Raw genomic sequence first — 24,412 nt, forward strand, 5'->3', positions numbered from 1 at the left:
ACTCACCACATGGCAGGCTTTGTGCTACAGAAGGGTCCCTGGGAGTCTGCAGGACACCATGGCCCAAACCACTTCTTCTTGTTATTCCCTGAAACAGACATATGTTTCTTTGCTTACCCCAAGTCCAGACCTTCTGATAGTAACATCTCGAATTTCCTTTTGAGGAACCATGCCTCCCTCATCCCAGTCCAAAGAGTTTGAATAGATTTGACTCTTCCTCCTTGGTTCCAGATGTGACAATGTACTTCAATGGACTTTATGGGGAACAAGAAGACATCTTCTCACTAGGGCTACAAAGTGCATAGAATGCATGTTGGATGCTCTGTTACTGTGAAGGGAGAGTCACCCAGATAATAAAGCCAGCATTGAGGTAAGCAGAGATGAAAATTAGAGAAAGAATTCTGATGAAATCTTGAAATGGCTGGATCTGGTCCTGGGAGGTAGGCTTATTGCAAACAATTCCATGATAAGTAAGACAATAAAGTCCCTTTTTTTGCTAAAATCAGATTAAATTAGATGTTGACATCTGCTGCCAAAAGAATCCCAAATAAAACATTTCCTTTAGGATAAATTCCCCTGTACTCCAGAACAATCTCCCTCAGAAACTGGAGTGGCTCATGATGGTATTTCAAACTAAAGTGCCAATGACTAGGAATGCTTGCTGACTCAACCACTGGAATGTTCTGGAGATGAAATTGATATTTGAAAGCAACTGGAGGGTGACTGACAGTTGGTAGGTACTTAAAAAATATCCTGAGTCTATCTAAATGGTGTATTTTCTTTTTTTATGTGCTAGAATATATGTACTTGGCAAATCTCAAATATGTTTGTAATTTGGGGAATATAATAGGAGATATTTTATGTGAGAAAAGTTCTCATCATTGCTTTTTGCCTGTTTGGTTTATTTTACATGACTGTGAAATGCAAAATTCCAAGATTTTGACTTTTTGAATGATTTTCCTCTCTCTCCCATCTCCTTTTCTCCCACACTTACACCATCCATCCCCAGTGGTCAAAGGTACGAGGATCCACCATTTGGAACTTCATCTTTTAAAGACCAGAAACTCCTCTTCAGGAGAAGGAAGGGTGTGATTTATTGTGGCTTTATCTAAGATAACACAGTGAAAGTTCAAGTTCTCTAGTTTCTTTATTAAAAAAAAATATATATAAATACCAGTGATTTATAGCAAGGGTAGCAATTTAGTGCATAAGAAATTTTTTTTGCTCTATTCCTCTCCATCTTCACCTTTCTTAAAGTAACTAATTTTAACAGCTTAGTGCATATCCTTCTAGTCATTTTTCTATGGTGTTATAACCAGACACAAATGCATGCATGTATATGCATGTATATATGTATGCCTATATACATAAACACACATACACACATCATTTTTTTTTAACATATTCTTGTACACTATTGCTTTTGTATATATTTCCAAAGGTAGGATTGCTGGGTCAAAGGGTATGTATACTTCTATTTAAATGAACACAGATGATTACTTTCCAGAAAGTTTACAGAACTTCATATTCTCACCAATGTATTTCTCCAAATCACTGCTATCCCAGAATTTTTTTGCACTTGGTACTGTGGTAGTTTCATGATTTTTATTCTTTTTTCTCTTTATAAGAGTTAGCATCTTCCCCATTCGAGTCCTTAGGACCATCACATCTGTTCTATGGCCCCATTGTGCATGCCTTTCCTGTCTTTCATGTGTTCTTTCGGAGGTTGCCCCTCGTAATAATGAGGATGAAGATGCAGCTGATGTTTATTGAGTGTTGACTACCTGTGCTGAGTCTGCTACGCACTTACAGTGCTGAATAGGTTTTTTTACTGAAAGTTTTTCCTTTGATATTCACGATAACCCTACGAGCTATCTAGTTTTATAAGTCGGCTTTTACAGATTAGGAAACTGAGGCTCAGAAAAAAGTTAGAGGATAGGTGTGGTGGCTCACACCTCTAATCCCAGCACTTTGGGGGGCTGAGGTGGGAAGATCACTTAAGCCCAGGAATTCGGGGCCACCCTGGGAAACCTAGTGAGACCCCTGTCTCTAATAATAATAATAATAATAATAATAATAATAATAACAACAATAAGATAAAATAAATTAGCTGAGTGCAATGGCGCACACCTGTAGTCTCAGCTACTTGTGAGGCTGAGGTGGGAGAATCACTGGAGCTTGGGAAGTTGAGCCTGCAATGAGCTGTGATCACACCACTGTACTCCATCTTGTCTCAAGAAAAAGGGTGGAGGGGAAGGTTAGAGTAATTTGCCTAAATGTGCAGAGGGAGTGAGAAGCAGAACAGGGATGAATCCGAGAGGTCTGTCAACTGCAGCATAGACGGCACACAAGCACTGTGCACATTGCCTGCTGGATACCCAAGATGGGATTCATTAAAGTGAGGCCAGGTCTCTATGACAAAAGTCCAAGAACCTCCTGAAATGTTGTGCAGGATGCTGGGAGAGGTTTGATTTATTTTCTTCATTTACTAAGCTAGCAATTTAATCTTACATTTCAGTTTGAAATATTTTAAACATGCGTTCCCAATATTTGTTTACTTATTTATAAATTATATACTTGCACTGAAGTATTGATATCTTATGTCCACTAGAAAGCATACATAAGCAGTTATAATTTTAAATGGTGACTCAGTTTGAGCCATTGTAACAAAAATACCATAGACTGGATGGTTTAAACGACAAACATTTATTTTTCATGGTTCTGGAGGCTGGCAGTCGGAAATCAGGGTGCCAGCATTGTTAGGTTCTGATGAGGGTCCTTTTCCAGGCTGCAGGTTACTGACTTTCTATTGTATCCTGACATGACAAAAGGGGCCTTTAGTGGGTAATTGGGTCATGAGAGTGGAATCCTCATGAATAGGATCTGTCCATCAAAGCAGTTACAAGCCTGCCTTGCCCTAAGGGCTGGGGAATTAGACTAAACTTTTTTTTTTTTGAGACAGAATTTTGCTCTTGTTGCCCAGGCTGGAGTGCAGTGGCATGATCTCGGCTCACTGCAACCTCCGCCTCCCAGGTTCAAGTGTTTCTCCTACCTCAGCCTCCCAAATAGCTGGGATTACAGATGCCTGCCACTACGCCTGGCTACTTTTTGTATTTTTAGTAGAGACAGAGTTTCATCATGTTGGTCAGGCTGGTCTTGAATTCCTGACCTCAGGTGATCTGCCCACCTCAGCCTCCCAAAGTGCTGGGATTGCAGGCGTGAGCCACCATGCCTGGCCAGACTACAATTCTTGATGAGGGAATAGGATTCATGAGGATTCCACTCTCATGACCCAATTACCCACTAAAGGCCCCACCTCCTAATATTAGTTTGGTGCAAAAGTAATTGTGGTTTTGCCATTAAAACGAATTGGCTGTAGCTGAGGCTGCAGTCATCTGAAGGATGTCCTAGTTGTGCCATTGGCATTACCATTAAAAGTAATGGCAAAAGCCGCAATTACTTTTGCACCAACCTATTATTACTTTGCAGATTAGAATTTCAATATGTGGATTTTGGGTGGACACAAACATTAGGTCTATTACAAATTGATAAGATAAAACTGAAATTACTTGTAATCTAATTATTCTATTTGTGAATAGTACCAAAATATCATTGCTCTCACTAAATAAAATTACTATTAGAAATGAACCTCATGCTTATTAGTTTTACATGTTTCATGACTTGCAATGGCTTCATAGTATTATTAAAAAATATCTTAAGCCATGGCTGGGCGCTGTGGCTCACACCTGTAATCCCAGCACTTTGGGAGGCTGAGGCAGGCGGATCACCTGAGGTCGGGAGTTTGAGAACAGCCTGGTCAACATGGTGAAACCCTGTCTCTACTGAAAATACAAAAAATTAGCCAGGGTTGGTAGTGGCTGCCTGTAATCCCAGCTGCTTGGAAGCTGAGGCATGAGAATTGCTTGAACCTGGGAGGAGGAGGTTGCAGTGAGCCAAGATCGAGCCATTGCACTCCAGCCTGGGAGACAGAGCAAAACTCCATCTCAAAAAAATAAAAAGTAGGCCAGGCGTGATGGCTCACACCTGTAATCCCAGCACTTTGGGAGGCTGAGGTGGGTGGATCACGAGGTCAAGAGATCAAGACCATCCTAGCAACGTGGTGAAACCCCGTCTGTACTAAAAATACAAAAATTATCTGGGCATGGTGGCATGCGCCTGTAATCCCAGCTACTCGGATGCTGAGGCAGGAGAATCACTTGAACCTGGGAGGTGGAGGTTACAGTGACCTGAGATCGCGCCACTGCACTCCAGCCTGACAACAGAGTGAGACTCTGTCTCAAAATAATAATAATAATAAAATAAAATAAATAAAAAATAAAAAATATTGAGCCATAACATGTATTTGGGAGGAGGTTTATTGTTTAATTATCTAGTAACATGTAACAAATGATCCCCAAATTTAGTGATTTAAACTCACAAGTTTGTTTTGCTCATGATTTCTGGGTCAGGAATTAGGAAAGGGCTCAGCTGACTGGTTCTCACCTGGAGGTCCTCGTGTAGTACAGTCTGATATTGGGTGAAGCTGAGGCTGTAGTCATTTGAAGGATGTCCAAGTTGTGCCATTGCCATGGCTGGCAGCTTTGGGACCTTAACTGGGGCTGTTGGTCAGAGCATTCATGTGACCCTTTCACCACGATGGTCTCAGTGTAGCTGGACTTCTTGAATAGCAGCTCTTGCTCCCTCCAGAATAAGCATCTCAGGAGAAACCAGAGAGGGAAGCTGTATGGCTTTTCCTGACAGCCTTGGAAGTCACGTAGCATTCCCTCTGTCATAATGTATCCATCAAAGCTGTCATAAGCCTGCCTTGGCTCAAGGGCTGGGAATTAGACTATACTTTTTTTTTTTTTTTTTTTTAAGACGGAGTCTCACTCTGTCGCCAGGCTGGAGTGCAGTGGTGCGATCTCGGCTCACTGCAACCTCTGACTCCCAGGTTCAAGAAATTCTCCTGCCTCAGCCTCTCAAGTACCTGGGACTACAGGCACCTGCCACCACGCCCAGCTAATTTTTGTATTTTTAATACAGACGGAGTTTCACCATGTTGGCCAGGATGGTCTCGATCTCCGGACCTCATGATCTGCCCACCTCAGCCTCCCAAAGTGCTGGGATTACAGGCATGAGCCACCGCACCAGGCCTAGACTATACTTCTTGATGAGGGAATAGCAAGATCACATTGTAAGCCAGCCTATGGAATGGGAGAGATGACTGAGGCTATCTCTGAAAAATGTAAACCTCATCATTACCGATTAAGTTATTTATTAATAGATATTTATGGAATGCCTGCTATGTGCCAAGCTAAGAATATGAGTAAAAAGCATGAAAAAACACAAGATCCCTGCTGTTCTGGAGCCTATATTCTAGTACAGAAAATATCAGATCATGGTTTTAAATGTAAATCTATATGTTACATAATCTGCTGGATAACTTCCTTTTTTGTTTGTTTGTTTTGACAACTCCGAGTTGCTCATCATCATTTTTTTTTTACATCACAATATAACTGATAAAAAGCTCCTGTTAATGGTGGAAGAAGTTAGAGCCATTTTCTCCTTGCATGCAGATGCTTGCATTGTTAAAATTTCCTTCAATTCACATTACTTTGTAGGAATCTTTAAGCCACTAGTCCTTTTTGTGAGGGCTGCTATAGTTAAGAGGTGATAATGCTGTCTATGAATCCACATTACTAGGCATGTGTAAATTGCAAGAAACCTCAATAGGCTGTAGGCTAGAGGCAGTAAGAACACCATTGTCATCTGCAGAGACAATTTGACTTCCTCTCTTCGTATTTGAATACCCTTTATTTCTTTCTCTTGCCTGATTGCTCTGGCCAGAACTTCCAATACTATGTTGAATTGGAGTGGTGAGAGAGGGCATCCTTGTCTTGTACTGGTTTTCACAGGGAATGCTTCCAGCTTTTGCCCATTCAGTATGATATTGGCTATGGGTTTGTCATAAATAACTCTCATTATTTTGAGATATGTTCTATCAATACCTAGTTTATTGAGCATTTTTAGCATGAAGGGGTGTTGAATTTTATTGAAGGCCTTTTCTGCATCTATTGAGATGATCATGTGGTTTCTGTCATTGGTTCTGTTTGGATTACATTTATTGATTTGCATTCTACTATAAAGACACATGCATATATATGTTTATTGCAGCACTATTCACAACAGCAAAGACTTGGAACCAAACCAAATGTCCATCAATGATAGACTGGATAAAGAAAATGTGGCACATATACACCATGGAATACTATGCAGCCATAAAAAAGGATGAGTTCATGTCCTTTGCAAGGACATGGATGAAGCCAGAAACCATCATTCTCAGCAAACTAACACATGAACAGAAAACCAAACACTGCACATTCTCACTCATAAGTGGGAGCTGAACAATGAGAACACATGGACACAGGAGGGGAACATCACACACCAGGGCCTGTTGCGGGGGCGGTGGGGGGCTTGGGGAGTATAGCATTAGGAGAAATACGTAATGTAGATGATGAGTTGATGGGTGCAGCAAACCACCATGGCACATGTATACCTATGTAACAACCTGCGTGTTCTGCACATGTATCCCAGAACTTAAAGTATAATTTAAAAAAAAAAGAATGCCATTGCCTCCCCCATCCCCAATTCCTCTGAGTTGTAGAATTCCCACCTTCTCTCAGAATTTCTGCAATACCATATGTAACCGACGCAGAGGGAGTGAGGCAAGTGTCAAGCTGCTTATTAAAATATAACACAGTTTAATTTCTTTCTTATTTTTAGTTTGAAGTAAGTATAAATAGAAGGTCTAATATCTTTTTTAGCTTATTTTCCACTTTGGAGGACACTGCTCTAGAAAAAAATCAGAAAACACTCCTCACCAGTTAAAGAGGATGATGCTTCTGGAAAGGACACAGTCCCCAATAATGAAACAACCCCCACAAGTTGTCTCCGTGAGTGCCTTCTCTTGAGTGATGATGCAAAAGGAGCTGAAATGAGTTGCAACTTGCAGGAAGTAGCCTGACATACAACATTGTTTAAATTAAAGTGAATGCAAAAGAGAAGCTTGTTACAGCTTAAATAGATAGAGAAGGAGAACTTTTTCTGTTTCCAGTTGCTTGTCTGCTTTGGTTGGAGACCATATGCTTTGAAGAATCTTACAAATATTCCTGTCCATATACGTATTAGAGTATCTCAGGCTTTTCTCTCTGGAAGCCTTTGTGCCATTGTCTGAAGGATCTATAAAAGCAATAAGCCATCTTGTAAATGGAGCTGGAATATGGGATGCTCTTGTTCCTTTCTTGCCAGCGGCCACTGGCATTTATTCCGGAGTTGATGCATCAGTGACCAGGGTTATTGCTCCCAGAATCCATGTTAAACCACACAAGCAATGGAAATTTTCTCAGCTGTGCTGTGAACTCAGTCTAGGCTTATTTCACTCAAGTATGAATAGCAATAAAGATATTAACAGCAATGCTAATATTAATTCTAATAGCTAAGAGTACCCAGCGCCTACTTGCCAGGTGCTGTGCTAGGAAGCCACGTGGATTTAATTGTTACTCCTCACAGCAACCTTATGAGAAATATACTGTCACTTATTGGACATCAGAGCAGGAAGCTTCTCCAAGGTTTGGAGGAATTAAACAATTTGAACAATAGAGTCTGAGCCCAAGGAGGATTCCCATAGTCTGACTCCAGGTTTGCAAGGTTAATTAATGACTTTCTGTCTCTCTAATATATATCTCTATATGTTATATAGATATATATAATAGATATTTACATTATATATAATATATATAAAACTTATATATAAGTTATGACAAATAAATTTTAACCACTATGGAAAACTTGCAACTCAAGTTTCTATACATATGATATGGTTTGGCTGTGTCCCCACCCAAATCTCATCTTGAATTGTAGCTCCCATAATCCCCGTGTGTAGTGGGAGGGACCCAGTGGGGAGTAATTGAATCATGGGGGTGGGTTTTTCCCATGCTGTTCTAGTGATATTGAATAAGCCTCATGAGATCTCATGGTTTTATAAAGGGCAGTTCCTCTGCACAGGCTGTCTTGCCTGCCACCATGTAAGATGTGACTTTGTGCCTCCTTCGCCTTTTGCCATGATTGCGAGGCCTCCCCAACCACGTGAGACGGAGTCCATTAAACCTCTTTTTCTTTATAAATTACCCAGTCTTGGGTATGTCCTTATAGCAGCATGGGAATGGACTAATACAATATATAAGTATATATTATATATAATATATACATATAAAATATAAATTTTTATATATTATATAAACTATATGAATATTATTTATATACTGTAATATAAATGTCATATTATATGTAATATGTAATTATAATTACATATCACTATAATATGTTATATATATAATTTATTAGAAGGTCATTTTGGCCAGCTCCACACTGCTTTTTGACCATCTTACATCAATGCCTCATGTCACCATTGCCAGGTGTTGGTGACAGAATTCTAAGATGACTTTCACTGACCCTCACCCTTGTGTAATCCCCTTCCCTTAAGTGTGGGAGGAACCTGTGACTATGACAAGATACCATGCCCATGGAAAAAGGGATTTTATCATCGTAATCATGATGCATAATTAGTTGACATTAGGATAAGGGGTTTATTCTGGGTGGGCCTGACCTAATCAGGTGAGTCCTTGCAGGAGCTCACGCTCTTCCTGTAGAGAGAGTCAAAGAATGAGTGGGGTTTGGCATGAGGGAGATTCTCCAATGCTGGCTGTGAAGATGGAGGGGGTCACATGGCAAGGAGTGTGGGTGGCCTCTATGAGTTGTGAGCCAGCAAGAAAATGGGGACTTCAGTCCTACAACTGTAAGGAACTGAATTCTGTTGATAACTTGTATGAGCTTGGAAATGGATCCTTCCCCAGACCCTCCAGATATGAATGCTGCTTAACCAACACCTTGATTTCAGTCTTGTTAGATCCTGAGAAGAGAATCCAGTCATGCCACGCTTGGGCTTCTGATCAACTGAACTGAGAGCTCATGAATGGGAAGAGCTCATTATGTTAAGCTGCTGAATTGGTGGTAATTTGTTACATGACAATAGAAAAATAATATACCATTTTCTTATTATTAATATACTTTTTCTGCACTATAGACTCATTGAGGTGCCATGGGTGTCTTTCTTTCTTTCTTTCTTCCTTTCTTTCTTCCTTCCTTCCTTCCTTCCTTCCTTCCTTCCTTCCTTCCTTCCTTTCTTTCTTTCTTTCTTTCTTTCTTTCTTTCTTTCTTTCTTTCTTTCTTTCTTTCTTTCCTTCTCTCTCTCTCTTTCTTTTTTTCTCATCTCCTTTGCATTGTGCTTACACCTAGCAGGTGCTGTAAATGTGAGCTAGAGAGGCTGTGTGTCTAGTTAGGAGGACAGACTCTGGAGCCAGACTGCCTGGGTTTAAACCTGGCGCTGTGTCTTACCAGCTGTGGGACCCTGGGCAACTTACTTAACTGCCATGTGTAAAATAGGAATGAAATAATCATGCTTGCTCATAAGGCTGGGGTGAGGATGAGATGACCTTTGTGTGTAAAGTGCCTAGTACATAGTAAGAGCTCAACAACATGTTAGTAATTATTACTGTGTGTTTCATAAATTAGCAAATAAATCTTAACTACTATGGGACAAAAGCCCTATAAAAAATTCGTAAATGTCTCTACCTGCTTAAGATAAGTTTATGGATTTTTAAAAGCTTTTCTGGACTACTTGCTATTAAATTACTAAGGTATCAGTACTACAGGGATGTCCTCTGGCACCATGGAGAATTGGGGCCCAGTCCTAAATGGTCCCATTCTGTATGATTTCTATTTGAATTCATTTGGGGAGAGAATCTGTAGCTTTGAATGAAATTTTCAAAAATTCCTGTTCACATATTAGAATATCAGTATCTGCAGGAAAAATTGATTTCTTCTTTGTCGTTGTTAGATGTTCCCTTCTGGGCATGACCATGTACTGCATTTAGCACCAGTTGCTTCTAGTTTCCCCACATGTACTGTGGGCTGAAAAACCCACAGTGATCAACTAAGCGTATACGTCATGCTCTATTTGCCCTGGCAGGGCCATTTGCCACCCTGTCGTACCCTGCTCTCTGGCTGCAAAGCTGAACTTTAGGGGCTTCATCAACTGGCTCCCTAACTCACTGCCTTTCAGCTAGGCAAGCTGGCAAGAAATAAGAGGGAAGAGAGGAGGCTGGGATATTTGTTTCCTAGACTCACTTTTTCTGGGGTTGCCTTGGCTGGTCGTTTCCTCTGTGGTCATCATTCCTCTTCAGGTAGCCTTTTTTCACAGAGCTCTTCCTCGTTCCTGATTCTGGGAACAATGCCCTCCTCTTTTCCTTCAGACCCCAGGATGGTAACAGCTTCTTCAAATTTCCGACACCAAACCCTTTGTAAATAGTGCCTTTACTGAACTGCCCTTGAATTATCCCAGTCTAAATGAGCCATCTGATTTCTGATAGGCCCTTCACTGTTACACCGAGATCGTTAGATTTTTAAGAAGAGTTTGGAGTCCATAGGTTCTGACTGTAGCTCTCTAATTAGCAAAGTGCTTGAGTTTGACTACATCTATATGGGCTGTTCAAAGGACCATTTCTCTTGCTTTTCACTGGGTTTTCAGTTATATTCTAGATGATGGAAGTTGGTAGAGAAGTGACCTGTGTGTAAATGAGATATTTCAGGAAGTTTTGCCATCAGGACATCCCACTCCACTGCATCTTATTTTGAAGCAAGCTCAGATCTGAATCCATTGAAACAGGAGCTGACAAACTGAAGGAGCGAATCTTCAGACAAGACAATTTTTAAAGGTTGTTTGTACATGTCTTTAGATAAACCGAATTGTCCCTTGAATTCCATTTCCTGCAGATTATTTCGGGAAATTCTCGAAATGGATCGTGCATTCAGTTCTCATATGGAACACTTCTATTTTGCATATTGACATGCATTTTAACAAGAAAAAGGTCAGTGATGGGAACAGCACTGCTTGTTGGTGTGACAGTCAACATTTACCTGAGCCTTTGTGATACACTGCAGTTCAAGATAATTTAGTAAAATAATTGTCATGATTGATTTTTATTTTCTTTCTGAACCCACAGTTCACTGTGTTGCTCTTGGGCTAGGTAACTTTCAGAAGCTTAAACTTCCTTTTGGTGGAAATTCATTTATTCAGTTCTGGATGGATGACAAACTTTGATTAAAATCATGAACTCTTTTATGATCCGTTGGCGATAGCTGGTGAACCCAATTGCTGTTGACTTATTCTTTGACCAACATCTGTTCACTGGGTGACATGAGAATGGCAGAAAATGAATGGTTGGGATTTTTCTGTGCATAATATTCTTTCTTATAAATCACACATCTGAGGACTTTGGTGGGAACCTGGGGAGAAAGGTGGCATTCAAACACATTGTCATCACAATCATAACAGTCATGTAGCTTTACATAGTAAGTCTTTGTCCACCAATGGTAAGATTATACTTTTGTGAGAGAAGAATAAAAGACAAGTTATGTTTAGAATAGTTTACAACTTTCACTTATGAGAAAAGAGGGATGCACTTGAGGAGAAATGCATGACACTTAGATCAAAAGAAAGGAAGAGATGCCCAGAGAGGGCCAGAAAGACACCAGATAAAAGAAAATCTCAGTTCAATTTGAGAAACATTTATTGACCGATTACTATGTGCCAAATACTCTGTCTGGTGGTGTTTCTCACAGAATCAGTCGAGATGGATGTCACTTTTGACATTAGCTTGCTTGGCATCTCCTGGGAAAAAAGGGGACAAAAAACTATCTGTGCTAAGTATTTGCTGATTTTCCAGCCATATATCCACTCCTCTTTCTGATTTTCCTTGGTATCATTCTTCCTTGTTCTTGGGCTTTGAGTTGTAGAAAGGGCTGACCCTATATCTACTCCCAACCCCAGGTGTGGACATGGGACCAGGCTGAGCCAGTTAGCACAGCAATAGGTTCAGCTAGCTACCTGACCCCAAGTATTGCTGTAATATTCAATTATATATTTGGCAAAAACCAGAAGAAAAGTTCTTATCTGCTGTAGTTGCACTTGATAGGGATTCTAAGTGTAAGAGTAATGTAAACCCACAATTTCTGGGAGTTACCACATAGAGAAATCTTGCTGAACATGAAGCTGAGCACAGTGCAAAGTGGAATTTAGAGACTGACAGATATCAAGCCCTTTGATTGGTATTTGAGCTCCTGGATCCCACTATGCCTGAAGCTACATTTACCTCCTTGGCATGTCCAAAACATTCTCCTCTTTAACTTAAACCTACTTGGTTGAATTTTTCTCATATTCTTTTCAAAGACCAATACATTTATTTATCATTATACTAGTTGTTACGGGTTGAATTTTGTCCCTCAAAAAGATGTGTTGAAGTCCTAACACCCAATAACTTAGAATGTAAATTTATTTGGAAGTAGGATTGTTGTAGATATAATTAGTGAAGATGAGGTAACTAATTAAGGTAGGCCCTTAATGCCACATGACTGGTGTCCTTATAAGAAGAGAGACCCAGGGATAAGATGACCATGTGAAGTAGAGGCAGAGACTGGAGTTATGTTGCCACAAGCCAAGGAACCCCTGGAGCTACTAGAATGGGTAAGGAAGGATCCTCCCCTAGAGCCTTCGGAGGAGGCATTACCTGCATGACAACTCGATTTGGGGCTTTTAGCCTCTAGAGCTGTGAGGCAATGTTTCCTGTGGTTTTTTCTTTTTTGAGACAGAGTTTCACTCTTGTTGCCCAGGCTGGAGTACAATGGCATTATCTCGGCTCACTGCAACCTCTGCCTCCTGGGTTCAAGTGATTCTCCTGCCTCAGCCTCCCGAGTAGCTGGGATTACAGGCGCCCGCTACCACACCTGGCTAATTTTTGTATTTTTAGTAGAGATGGGGTTTCACTATGTTGGCCAGGCTGGTCTCAAACTCCCAACCTCAGGTGATGCACCCGCCTTGGTCTCCCAAAGTGCTGGGATTACAGGCGTGAGCTACCATGCCCCACCGTTTTTGTGGTTTTAAGCCACCCAGTCTGTGGTACTTTGCCATAGTAGCCCTGGGAAATTAACACATCAATAAGAAGTGATCTGCCATGATGAAGGTATTATGGGAGTTTGGGCAAGAAGATGACTCACCCTGATGGGAAGATGAAAAAGACTTCAGAAAAAGTTTTCCAAAGGAAAATGGCTCTTGCACTAGTACTTGGACGATATACAAAAATTAAACAGGTGAAAAAGGAGAAAGGAGTGTCTTGAGCGAAGGTGCTTGTGGATATGGAAACGTGTTTGGTGACCTGCAGGGAGGGGGCTGTTTCTCCAGCAAGAATGGCTGTGGAGGTTCCCCAAGGCATGACACAGGATGGGCAAGTGTAGGTGGAGTCATAAGGCACTTTACCCTTCACCCATGGAATTTACATTTTAACAGGAGGGCAATGGGGCTCTGTCATGAGGGCAATGGGGCTATTTCCACCCGGAGTCCTAGCAGGCAGTTCATGGTGGGCATTTTAAAACAAATTTAGAATTTTGGGGTCTAAGAATTTTGACACCCTATCATAGAGCCGAGTTTCTCAGTCTTGGCAGTATTGACATTTGAGGCTAGGTAATCATCTGTTGTTGAGGGCAGTTCTGGGCATTATGGGGTGTTTAGCAGCACCACTGGCTTCTACCCACTAGATGCCAGTCACCCTCTCATCTCAGTGTGACAACCAAAAATGTCTCCACACATTGGCAAATGTCCCCTGGGAGTCACAATTACCTCCAGTTGAGAACCTGTATACTAGACATGAAAGAGATTAGACTCATTCCACAATCAACAGCTACTGCAAGCCCGTTGGGCACCAGGCACTGTTTTAGGCACTGAGAATAATAAGTGAGCATGAAAGACAAGGCCCTGCCCTCAAAGGACTCAGATTTTCCAGCAGGAATGGCTTCATGTCACATTTCCACAGTCTATGGCTGGACCAGCTGGGTCCCAGATGGCTGTCCAAGCTCTGTGAGAGAGAACAGCCAGAAGAGAGAGAAGGTTTCTGCAATCATGACAGCTATATTGCTGTTGGAGATTGTAGTATTGACTGCTAGGGGCTTCCATATATTTATTTCCACCTCTTCCTTAGTAGCGAGCCTTCATTTTGAGCTGGGCACATAACCCCTTGGCATGAAAGTCTGCATTTCCTTGCTTCTCTTGCATTTCTTTGGAACATATGCATTATGACTAAATCTAGCTAAAGAGACATAAGAGACAGTGCTATGAGGACTTCAGAGAAGGCTCCTTAAAGCAGGTGGAGATAGTGACACTTTCCACTCCTTTCTCTTTCTGCTGCCTGGAATGTGTATTTGATGCCTGGAGCTCTAGCTGCCACCCTGGAGAATTCGGTGCATGGTGACAGAATAATGGCCCCCCAAAGATATGCATGTCCTGATTCTCAAAACCTGTGAGTACCTTACTTTAGATGGCAAAAGGAACATTACAGATGTGATTAAGTTAAGGATCTTGCGAGGGGTGATTATCCAGGTGGGCCCACTGTCATCAGAAAGGTTCTTAGATGAAGGAAGCAAGTGGGTCAAAGACTTTGGAAGCAGAGGTTGGAGTGATGTGCTTTGAAGATGGAGGGACAGGCCATGAGTCAAGGAATGTGGGCAGCCCATAGGAGCTGGAAAAGGCGAGGAACTGATTTTCTCCTAGAGCCCTGAGAAGGACCACAGTCCTCCTAGACATCTTTTTCTTAGCACTGTAAGACTCATTTTGGATTGTGACCTTCAGAATGGTACAATACTAAATGTATGTCGCTTTAAGCCACCAAATTAGTGATCATTTGTTACAACAGCAATGGGAAATGAGCACAAAGTGATCTTGAGAAGGGACTCTTGTGCTGGGTTGGGGAAGTGGAAAGACAAGGACATATGTTCCCTGATGACACCATTGGGCGACCATGTTGGCCTTAGATTTGTTACTTTTGGACTTCTTTTATGCATGAAAGAAATAAACTTCTATCTTATTTAAAACAGTCTTATATTTGGTTTAGTGTTGTGTGCCACCGGTCTGTGTTTCCATAGCTTCTGAATTTGTCTATTTGACATCCATTAATTACAAGGCCAAACTAATGACCAAAGTTGTTTCCATTTATTCTGTGATCCATATTTCATACTCTGAGCCCTCTCCTGTAGCTTACTCTCACACACCAGCCCAATATGTCCCCTACCCTAAATCAACCTGGGGCCAGGTACCAGACAACTAGGAACAGCTTTAAGTCCCAGAGCCCACTAGAATTATTTAAACTAGACAGCTCTAAGCTGTTCACCTGTCCTGCCTCTGCTTTCCTGCAGAAAACCTGATGAAGGCTGTGCCGGGTGCCTTCCTCAGATAAAATTGTGGTCAGGGATCTTTTTGTGTGGGTGACCTTTAAGCTGAAACCTCAGTGATGGAGAGAAGCCATTAGGAATAAGAATGGGGCCAGTTCAAGTCTTTTTAGGCAGGAGGAATAGCTGGGCAAAGGTGTTGAGGTGGGTGGGAACTTTGTAAATTAGAAGGCCAGGTGGTTGGAACATCAGGAGAGATGGAGAAAGATGAGGTCATATGGTGCCATACCAAGTTAAGGAATTTGGCCTTTCTTCCAGGTGCTGTGGGAAGCCACTGGAGGGTTTTAAGCGGAAGACATTGGCTCCAATGTGCATTTTAAAGAGATCACTCTAATGTTGCTATCTTGAGCATGGGAAAAGCTGACCCACCATATGGCATGGTCCAATTCTGTCATGCCAACTTTCATTAGTCCCTCCTGGGGCCTTAAAAATTATATTAGAGCTGACTCCTAATGTTCATGTGAATTATGATCCAGGACACCAGAGCGAGGCTGCTTTTCTTTGTGCATGTGGTTTCTACATCAGATACGGTCTTTCTATGAGGCAGATAAATATAAGTACTTGAAAGTATTTTATGGATCAATGAAATATTAATGGACCTGGAGGTGCTTTAAGTTTATTTATAAAGCTGGGTCATCTATAGGTCAAATACCATTATAGCAAATGCAATTGTAATGAATATCTTTGATAAATTTGGTTTTTAAGGCTCAACCCATGTCCTGCTTATTTCAAAATTATGAGCTGTAGGCTTGTAATTTCTTACATGCAATTCTGAAATCCAAAAAAAAAAACCACCTGAAGACCAAAGTTGGCTATTTTAAATTTGTTTTATGATTCACTTGATGGCCAAAATTGAACTAAGGGATATCCCCACACAGCAAGATGAATAAGGACTATATATATGTATGTGTGTGTGTGTGTGTGTGTGTGTGTGTATAGTGACATTTGAGGCTAGGTTGCACTGCAGAAATATTGGGCTTGATTACGGGGATCAGCCTCAGTTTCCTTTGAGATTATGATTTAATATATCTGAACCTATTAACCTAAAATCTAAGTAAAACTTGAATTTTGAAATATATTTGGCCTGAAAATTCCAGATGGGGGATTATAGACCTCCACAACTGTATGTGATCATTTCTTCAGAATGTGCAAAACAGGCATTTGAATCATAATTGATCATATTAGAAGGTAGGTGGAGCCATTTAAAAGACTAAATAAATTACAGAAATTCTAATAAGTGTACATTTGTCTGTCCCATTAATTTTACAAAACATTTTGTTTGTGGGTGGGGATGGGGAATCCTGTAAACTCTTTGAGGTCAGGGGCGAGGACGATTTTATCACCATATCCCTAATACGTAACAGAGCCTGAAGCACTAGCTACTCAATAAATATGTGCAGAATGTAATTATTAACTCGGTTGAGGAACCTGGGGATCAGATGATGCGTGACCCATCCAAGTGCTGGGGTTGGTGGACTGGAACTCAGGTCTTCTGACACCTTTTATTTTTCCTTATACTGTCACTGCTGTGCTAAAATGGAAAAAAAAAAATTGAAGGCCTGTCTGAGGTAATCAAAAACATTGGAACATAAAGGAGGAAGAGGAAGGCAAGTGGCCTTCGTTTCCATTGGACAAAGCTAATCAGTCTGTATGAATAGCCAAGGGTCTTGTTTCTAGATAAAAGAAAACTCTCCAATCAGTTCTAATCCAAGAGCATCGCTGGCAGTGAGAGATTGTAAAAGCGAAATATTCACTTTGAAAAATGAAACCTATTAAATTCAGGGCATTGTAATTTCCCATTGTGAGACTGTTGTACCAGCGATTAAATTCTATTGTGTGTCTACAGTCCTTGTTACCAACGATGTTTAGTATTATTAACTGAGATTCTAAGAATATCAGCTCTCCATAGCTGGAGAGCTGTTCTGTTCCTCATGTGAAACAATTTGCATATATCTTGGATTCGCCCTTGATATGCCTCTTTCCCTCCTTATTCCCTGTATGCCATTTAGAAGCCAGTCCTGTAGACTCCATCTCCAAATATATTCTGTGTGTGTTCATTTCTCTGCCCACATGGTTCACATCTGGGCAACTCTGGCAGCTTCTATTTTTTAAAAAAATATAACCTTTAACTTTTATTTTAGATTCATTTGCAGGGGTACATGTGCAGGTTTGTTGCATGGGTTTATTACATGGTTGTGGATATACACATCAGCTTTACCAGATAGTGCTAAGCTGACCTCCAAAGTAGTTCTACCAATTTATACTCCTGCCAGCAGTATATCAGAATTTTCCTGTGTTACATAAGAATTTTCCTCTGTTACATCCTTGCCTACTGATAGTATTTAGACTTTTAAAAATTACTGCTCGGCCAGGCGCGGTGGCTCACGCCTGTAATCCCAGCACTTTGGGAGGCTGAGGTGGGTGGATCACGAGGTCAGGAGATTGAGACCATCCTGGCTAACACAGTGAAACCCTGTCTCTACTAAAAACACAAAAAATTAGCCGGGTGTGGTGGCATGTGCCCGTAGTCCCAGCTACTCGGGAGGCTGAGGCAGGAAAAAGGATAGTAACACAGGCTGGCCTGGGCAGCATCACAGGACTGCACATACCCCAACATGGTGGGAAACAAGCAGCCATTTGTATTCATGGGGATATGGAAATGTTGTGTGAACTCTTTGCCTGGAAGAAGACTGGGTTCAGGTAGAGGAAGTTTAGGGGACTGGGACTTCATGCCCGGAAGCAATGGTGAGATCCAGGGTCATTAACACTAGAGGCCAACACAGAGCCCAAAGGACTGGTGGGTCTCAACTGCATCTTGGTGGACACCAGCCTGGAATGCCCATTGAGCAGGGAGGCCACCCTCTGCAACAGTAATTGCAGTAAGTGTGAAGGGCAATGCCGGAAGACCATGAACAGAAGGAGCCGTCATGAAAGGGGAGCTCACAGGCCAGAAATGCCTTCCTGGCACCATGAGGAACTGACCTTTCCCTGATGCCCAGGTGCATTATGGGAAGGGGACAAGAACCCTGAAATTAGGGAGAAACTCTGAAAGGTTGAAAAATTACTCCAAAGAAAATTTAGCAAGATGAGTACTAATGCCCTTAATGGATAAATGAATAGAGTTTGGTTGTCTGTGTGAATCAAGCTTGAGAACAAAGGGGTATATGTTAGAGAATATGATTCAGCTCTCCCCCTCCTTTTTCTTTTATACATTGGAGTCAGTTATAAATATTAACCTTTTTTTTTAAATGAAGTATTGATATGTGTTATAACGTGGGTGATACCTGAAAACATTGTGCTAAGTGAAAAAAGTTAGTCACAAAAGACCCCATATTTTATGATTCTATTTATTTGTTATTAATTTTTTTATTTCCATAGGTTATTGGGGAACAGGTGGTGTTTGGTTATATGAATAAGTCCTTTAGTGGTGATTTGTGAGATTTTGGTGCGCCCATCTCCTGAGCAGTGTATGCTGCACCCAATTTGTGGTCTTTTATCCCTCACCTCCTTCCCACCCTTTCCCCCTGAGTTCCAAAGTCCATTGTCTTTGCCTTTGCATCCTTATAGCTTAGCTCCCACTTATGAGTGAGAACATATGATGTTTGGTTTTCCATTCCTGAGTTACTTCACTTAGATTAACAGTCTCCAATCTCATCCAGGTCTCCGTGAATGCCATTAATTAATTCCTTTTTATGGCTGAGTAGTATTCCATCATATATATATATACCACAGTTTCTTTATCCACTCATTGATTGATGGGCATTTGAGTTGGTTCCACGTTTTTGCAATTGTGAATTGTGCTGCTATAAACATGCATGTGCAAGTATCTTTTTCGTGTAATGACTTCTTTTCCCCTGGGTAGATACCCACTAGTGGGATTGCTGGATCAAATGGTAGTTCTACAATGAGAACACATGGACACAGGAAGGGTAACATCACACACCGGGGCCTGTTGTGGGGTGGCGGAAGGGGGGAGGGATAGCATTAGGAGATATACCTAATGTTAAATGATGAGTTAATGGGTGCAGCACACCAACATGGCACATGTATACATATGTAACTAACCTGCACGTTGTGCACATGTACCCTAAAACTTAAACTATAATTTAAAAAAATGGTAGTTCTACTTTTAGTTCTTTAAGGAATCTCATATTAATTAGAAATGATGAAGATGATAAAAGTAACTAAGAAGTATGAGAGTGAGGTTAAGGGCACCCTTTGATGACATGACAGTAACTAAGAGGTATGAGGGTGAGGTTAAGGGCACCCTTTGATGACATGTCAGAGGTTCTTCCAGGAGAACTGAGACCTACCCAAAGAGAAGAAACCAGTGATGAATAAGGTTGGGAGAAAAATGTGCCAGGAAGAAGAAACAGCCCAGGCAAAGGCCTTGAAATATTATTGAGTTTCGCATGTTCTGAGCCATGAAAGAACAGTGGGGCTGGAGCTCAGGAAGTTAGGAATGGAGTGACCAAGGATGAGGAAGGAGAGGTGGACGAGGACCAGGTTATATAGGGCCTGGTAGGTAATGATATGGAGGTCTGGGTTTTATACTACGGGCAATGGCACCATGAAAGAGTTTTAAGGACTTGATTTGTGTTTGTAAGTGATCGTTATGCCCTATTCAATATAAAATAGGAAGAAGAAGACCAGGAAAGAGGCTACTGCAGTGCATAACCAGAGACGGAGTTCAGTAAATGGATTCAGAATATAATTTGGAGTTAAAATTGCCACAGCTTGCTAATGGATTGGCTATGAGAAAGAGGGAAAGAGAGAAATGATAATTCCTAAGGTTTTGGTTTGAATAAATCAGTGGTTGGAGTTGGGGGTGATAGAGCCTTTGACTAAAATGGGAAGACTAGGGCAGAAAAGTCTTGGGTGGGGTTGGGGTTGCTAACTCCATTGCTAATGCATGGCTACTGTCTGATTTCTCAGTACTAAAGAACCTGGATCTGCCAAACTGTAAACTCTCCTTCAAACATCAAGGGTGATGACAATGCTTGCAATATAGTTGATATAAAACTATGTTCAAGTCCGTGTGTTTCCATTATTTGGTTTTTACTTAGTTGATCATTTATTAATGACACTGTTTACATTTGCATTTGGATGCCTTGCTATAATTAAAATAACTCTTGAATTTATCAACTGAGCCCTAAATTAAAGACCCATGAAAGGCTCCACATGATGGAATAAATTTTCATATTCAGTTGTCTTAGATATGGACAACCATATACGTTTTTCTGACACACGTAATGTTTGACATCAGTCAAAAAGAGTACAACAGAAATATTCTGTGTTTAAAGCAGAGCTGGGGGAAAAGAAGGCTAAAACATTCCATATTGCATAAAAGAAAGAGTTAGATTGTCACCAAAGTTAAAGGAAATCAATGGGACGACTTTGGAGACCCATTTCAATCTGTTGTTGACATTGTTTTCTGGTAGTAATTTTCTCAAAATGTTAACAGTATTGAGTTTGCCTATTGATTCTATTATTTTTGACCTTGCATTAGTGTGGGCTAATCTTACATGCCATAAAATTTTTTTTTCACAGCTGAAATTATTGTATGACTCTGGAGGAAACCTCCAATCAGGTCAGATGCCCTGCTCAGGATTTCGATGAGTGTATAAGCAACAATAATGAGCTATGTTGACTTCCAATACACTTTCATGTTGTTTACATTTTATTAAATGGTTTAAGCAGGGTCATCATATAAATGATCAACATATTGACTAAAACACTCAAGCCTTGAAGAATTGAAGGCCACAGACAGCCAACCAGATTGGTCACCTTGAATTTGAGTCAATAGCATAAATATATATTTGGCTACAGAGTCAAAGCCCACTTTATATTCATTATTCTGAAAACCCTGCTAAATAAACAGCTCCAAAGTGTCCCACTGGAAGATGCCCATTCTACTGACTCAGTAACCCTGCCTAGCTATGTCCTCTCCAGAACCAAATAATCCAAGCTGAGTGAATTCAGCAAAACTGGGGGCAGTTGATGAAGACTAAGTGAATGGGAAACCAAAAACTCTTGAATGGTTTTCCTGGGAAACAAATAGATTTATTGTTGGCTCTATGTAGAAGAAATCTGGCAGCTATATTTTCAAGGGTTTATGAAATATAGTCACAACACATCATTAGCATCCTGTCTATTCCCCACCCTAACACTCCCGTATATCTCCATGGTAGGTCAAATCACCGTGCACTGCACTACCCACCCCACCCCTTTCCTTTGAGGCTGTAGTTACTCAGTCTGCATGCAAAGAAATTTCAGAGTTTACTGGCACAATGCTAATGGGTTTGCCCACAAATACTTAGAAGAGTATTGCTAGAGGAGTTAATTTGCCTCTTAATGATTTAATTATATGCTACAGCTCTGCTGTTCAAGAATAACAATGTTCCTCGCTTTCTTGCTGCTGGGCCTGCTGATTTTGGAGAGTTTTGGAAAAGAATGGAATTTACTCTCCTTTAGTGAGAGGGGAATTGAGTTTGGGAAAGAGAGAAGCATTTCTCCCATGCCACAAATAACTATGCCCATTCATCTATAATGGAATGAGGGGGATATGTCAGGATGACAGTGATAAGCATTATAAAATGCGCTGTGATTTTTATTTGCATTTTCTCGATTGATCCCATGAAGTAATATTAGTTCTAATTTTCCTATAAGGTTGAGTGAGGTCACCTGGATTGCTTAACACAGAGATAGACAGTGGATGAGCTAAGGGTCCAACAGAGGTCTTTTGACTCCAAAACACAACGTCTGTTTTTCCCTACCTGAGCCTATCTTTCTGCGGCTTAAAAGACCTGAGTTCCCTGGGCCCTCTGAATGGGAATGATTGTGATTTTAGGATCAGAGTGGCTCTGTAGACCACACTCTGTACTTCATTTTGTACTGCAGGTTGGGTTCTTTGGAGGCAGAATTGGGAGTTTCAGGTATTTATTGGGATTAACACCTATAAAAAGAAGGGGAGAAAGCAAGATCGGGCACAGGCAGACGTTGAACTGACATGCAACTCTGATAAAGCCCCTGCCAACCCTTTGGGGAGCTCTGGGGCTGGTATTGCCTATCAGAGCATCCTGCCTTGGACAGAAATGACTGGGCCTTTATGCCCCCACCTTGCTGTATCACTATGGGGGCTGCTCTGAAAGCATGACCTGGGTGCAGCTGGCCCTTTGCAGCTGTGGCAGCCCCTGCATTCAAGAACAGATGGCAAGGAGTGGGGAGGGGGTACAGTCTGCTGACCCACACCCCTCAGCTAGATGGTAAGGCCTTTCCTGAAGGGAGGTCTGAGCTGAGCAGCTCATCTCTCTGTCTACAACCCACTGTTTCTAGGTATCTGTAGAAACACTAATCACTCAAGAGGGACACAGAAGGGAGAGAGAAAAGATTACAGGGTGCAGAATCAGGATGTCTGAGTCTGTATTCCAAATCAGCCTCTTCCCAACTAGGGCTTTATGGTAAGATACTTGAACTTTGAGATCAATCCAACCTGTAAACTGGAGATAAAGGAACAATTTTATTCATTTATGATGAGGACTAGGAATAATTTCTTTAAAGTAATTTCAGTCAATAAGGGCTATTTTTATGAACCTCTGAAGAAAGAGTTCATGTTCTGGGCCACTCATCAGTCTTCCTAACACCCACCTGTTTATGTATCGCCCCCTGGTTATAAGCATTTTCTTTCTGTTCAGTGCATCCTAAAGCGCCATGAGAATCCATGCACTTACAGCTGGATTTTCTTCTAGGCTCATCCCCGTAAGATCTCATCCCAGGGGGCTGGGAATGAAAGAGGGCCCTCCCCTGAACTTGGAGTCCTATAAATGGTTGAATCACCAATGTGAGAGTCCCCCCGCCAGGAGCTCAATGCAGAGGCTAGTTCACCTAACCGTTTCCCTTCTTTACTCTGGTCTGCAAAGGAAGCCAAGCTCAAAGGCCACTGGATAGAGCTTGGGGCCAGTGGTGTCTGTGTGCACTGCCTGGCACTCTCAGGATTCAGGTGAGGGCAGAAGGAGACCCAGGAATAATTACTGAGTACTTATTACTTGCTGGTCATGGAGTCATGCCTTTGCATGCATTGCTCATTTCATCTTCACAACAATCCTTTGATGAAGTTATTAGCCCTGGCTGCATTTTAGTGAGAAGCAGAGGCTCACAAAAGATGAGGGAACTTCTCAAGCCCCTATAGCTAGTGAGTGTTGGAGCTCAGAATTGGGCTAGGGCAGTCTGACACACAGCTCTGAGTGTGAGGCAGGTGGGGAATTTGAAGAGAATTCAGCACATTCACTTTGCAGGAAACTGAGAGGTTTTTCAGTCACAGTGTTGGTCTTGGTGCAGTAGAACATGGGTCTCTTTTCCTCATTTTCTTTAGTGAGGGTAGATTCATCTCCAAGTCTCATTTTTCTATTAATTCTATTACTCCTATATTTAATTTCATTTTCCTGCAAATTAGATTCTTCAACAACTGCGTTGTAGTTATACGCATGTTTCATATACATATGAGAAATAAAGTTTACGATGATTATGGAATCTTAGATGAAAGACTTCACTGGCCATCAGCAGCAATTATTCCCCATTCATTGGGCTTTTCCTTCTGACGACTGTCAGTTTTTATACGCTCCCTGTTTTCTTGCCTGATATCTAGTGGAATAGTTAATCAGCTTTCCTCAGATGATGTTTATTAGTTAAATTGACTTAAGTTTCATGTAAGGTAATCACTGAGTGTAGAATTCTAAAGTCAGGCTCTCCTGGGTTAAAAAAAATCCCAGCTTTGCTATTTATGAGCTAATCGCATAAACTTCATCAATTTTTTAAAGCTTTGCCTCTCAGACTCTCCATCTGTAAAATGGACATACTGTTATTTATCTTGTGGAATTTTTAAGTGAGATAAATTTAAATGCCTTATATATAATGCTATAGTTTGAATGTTTGTCACCTCTGAAACTGTTCTTGGAACTTAATCTCCAATGTGGCAGTACTGAGAGGTAGGTCCTTTAAGAGGTGATTGCGTCATGAGGGCTCT

The 24,412-nt window shown here is 41.2% G+C and overlaps 2 long non-coding RNA genes across 4 annotated transcripts in view; both read left to right on the forward strand.

The window, feature by feature from the left end:
- The window catches only part of LOC105372666 (uncharacterized), a 483,513-nt gene that overhangs the window by 410,988 nt on the left and 48,113 nt on the right, over positions 1–24,412 (forward strand). The window lies entirely within an intron of this gene.
- The window catches only part of LINC01524 (long intergenic non-protein coding RNA 1524), a 29,589-nt gene that overhangs the window by 793 nt on the left and 4,384 nt on the right, over positions 1–24,412 (forward strand). The window contains exon 2 of the long non-coding RNA NR_110038.1: positions 232–370. This is a non-coding gene — a long non-coding RNA (long intergenic non-protein coding RNA 1524). The remainder of the gene's footprint in view (positions 1–231; positions 371–24,412) is intronic.

This window comes from Homo sapiens, chromosome 20, assembly GCF_000001405.40.
Source record: "Homo sapiens chromosome 20, GRCh38.p14 Primary Assembly".
Classification (NCBI taxonomy): Eukaryota; Metazoa; Chordata; class Mammalia; order Primates; family Hominidae; genus Homo; species Homo sapiens.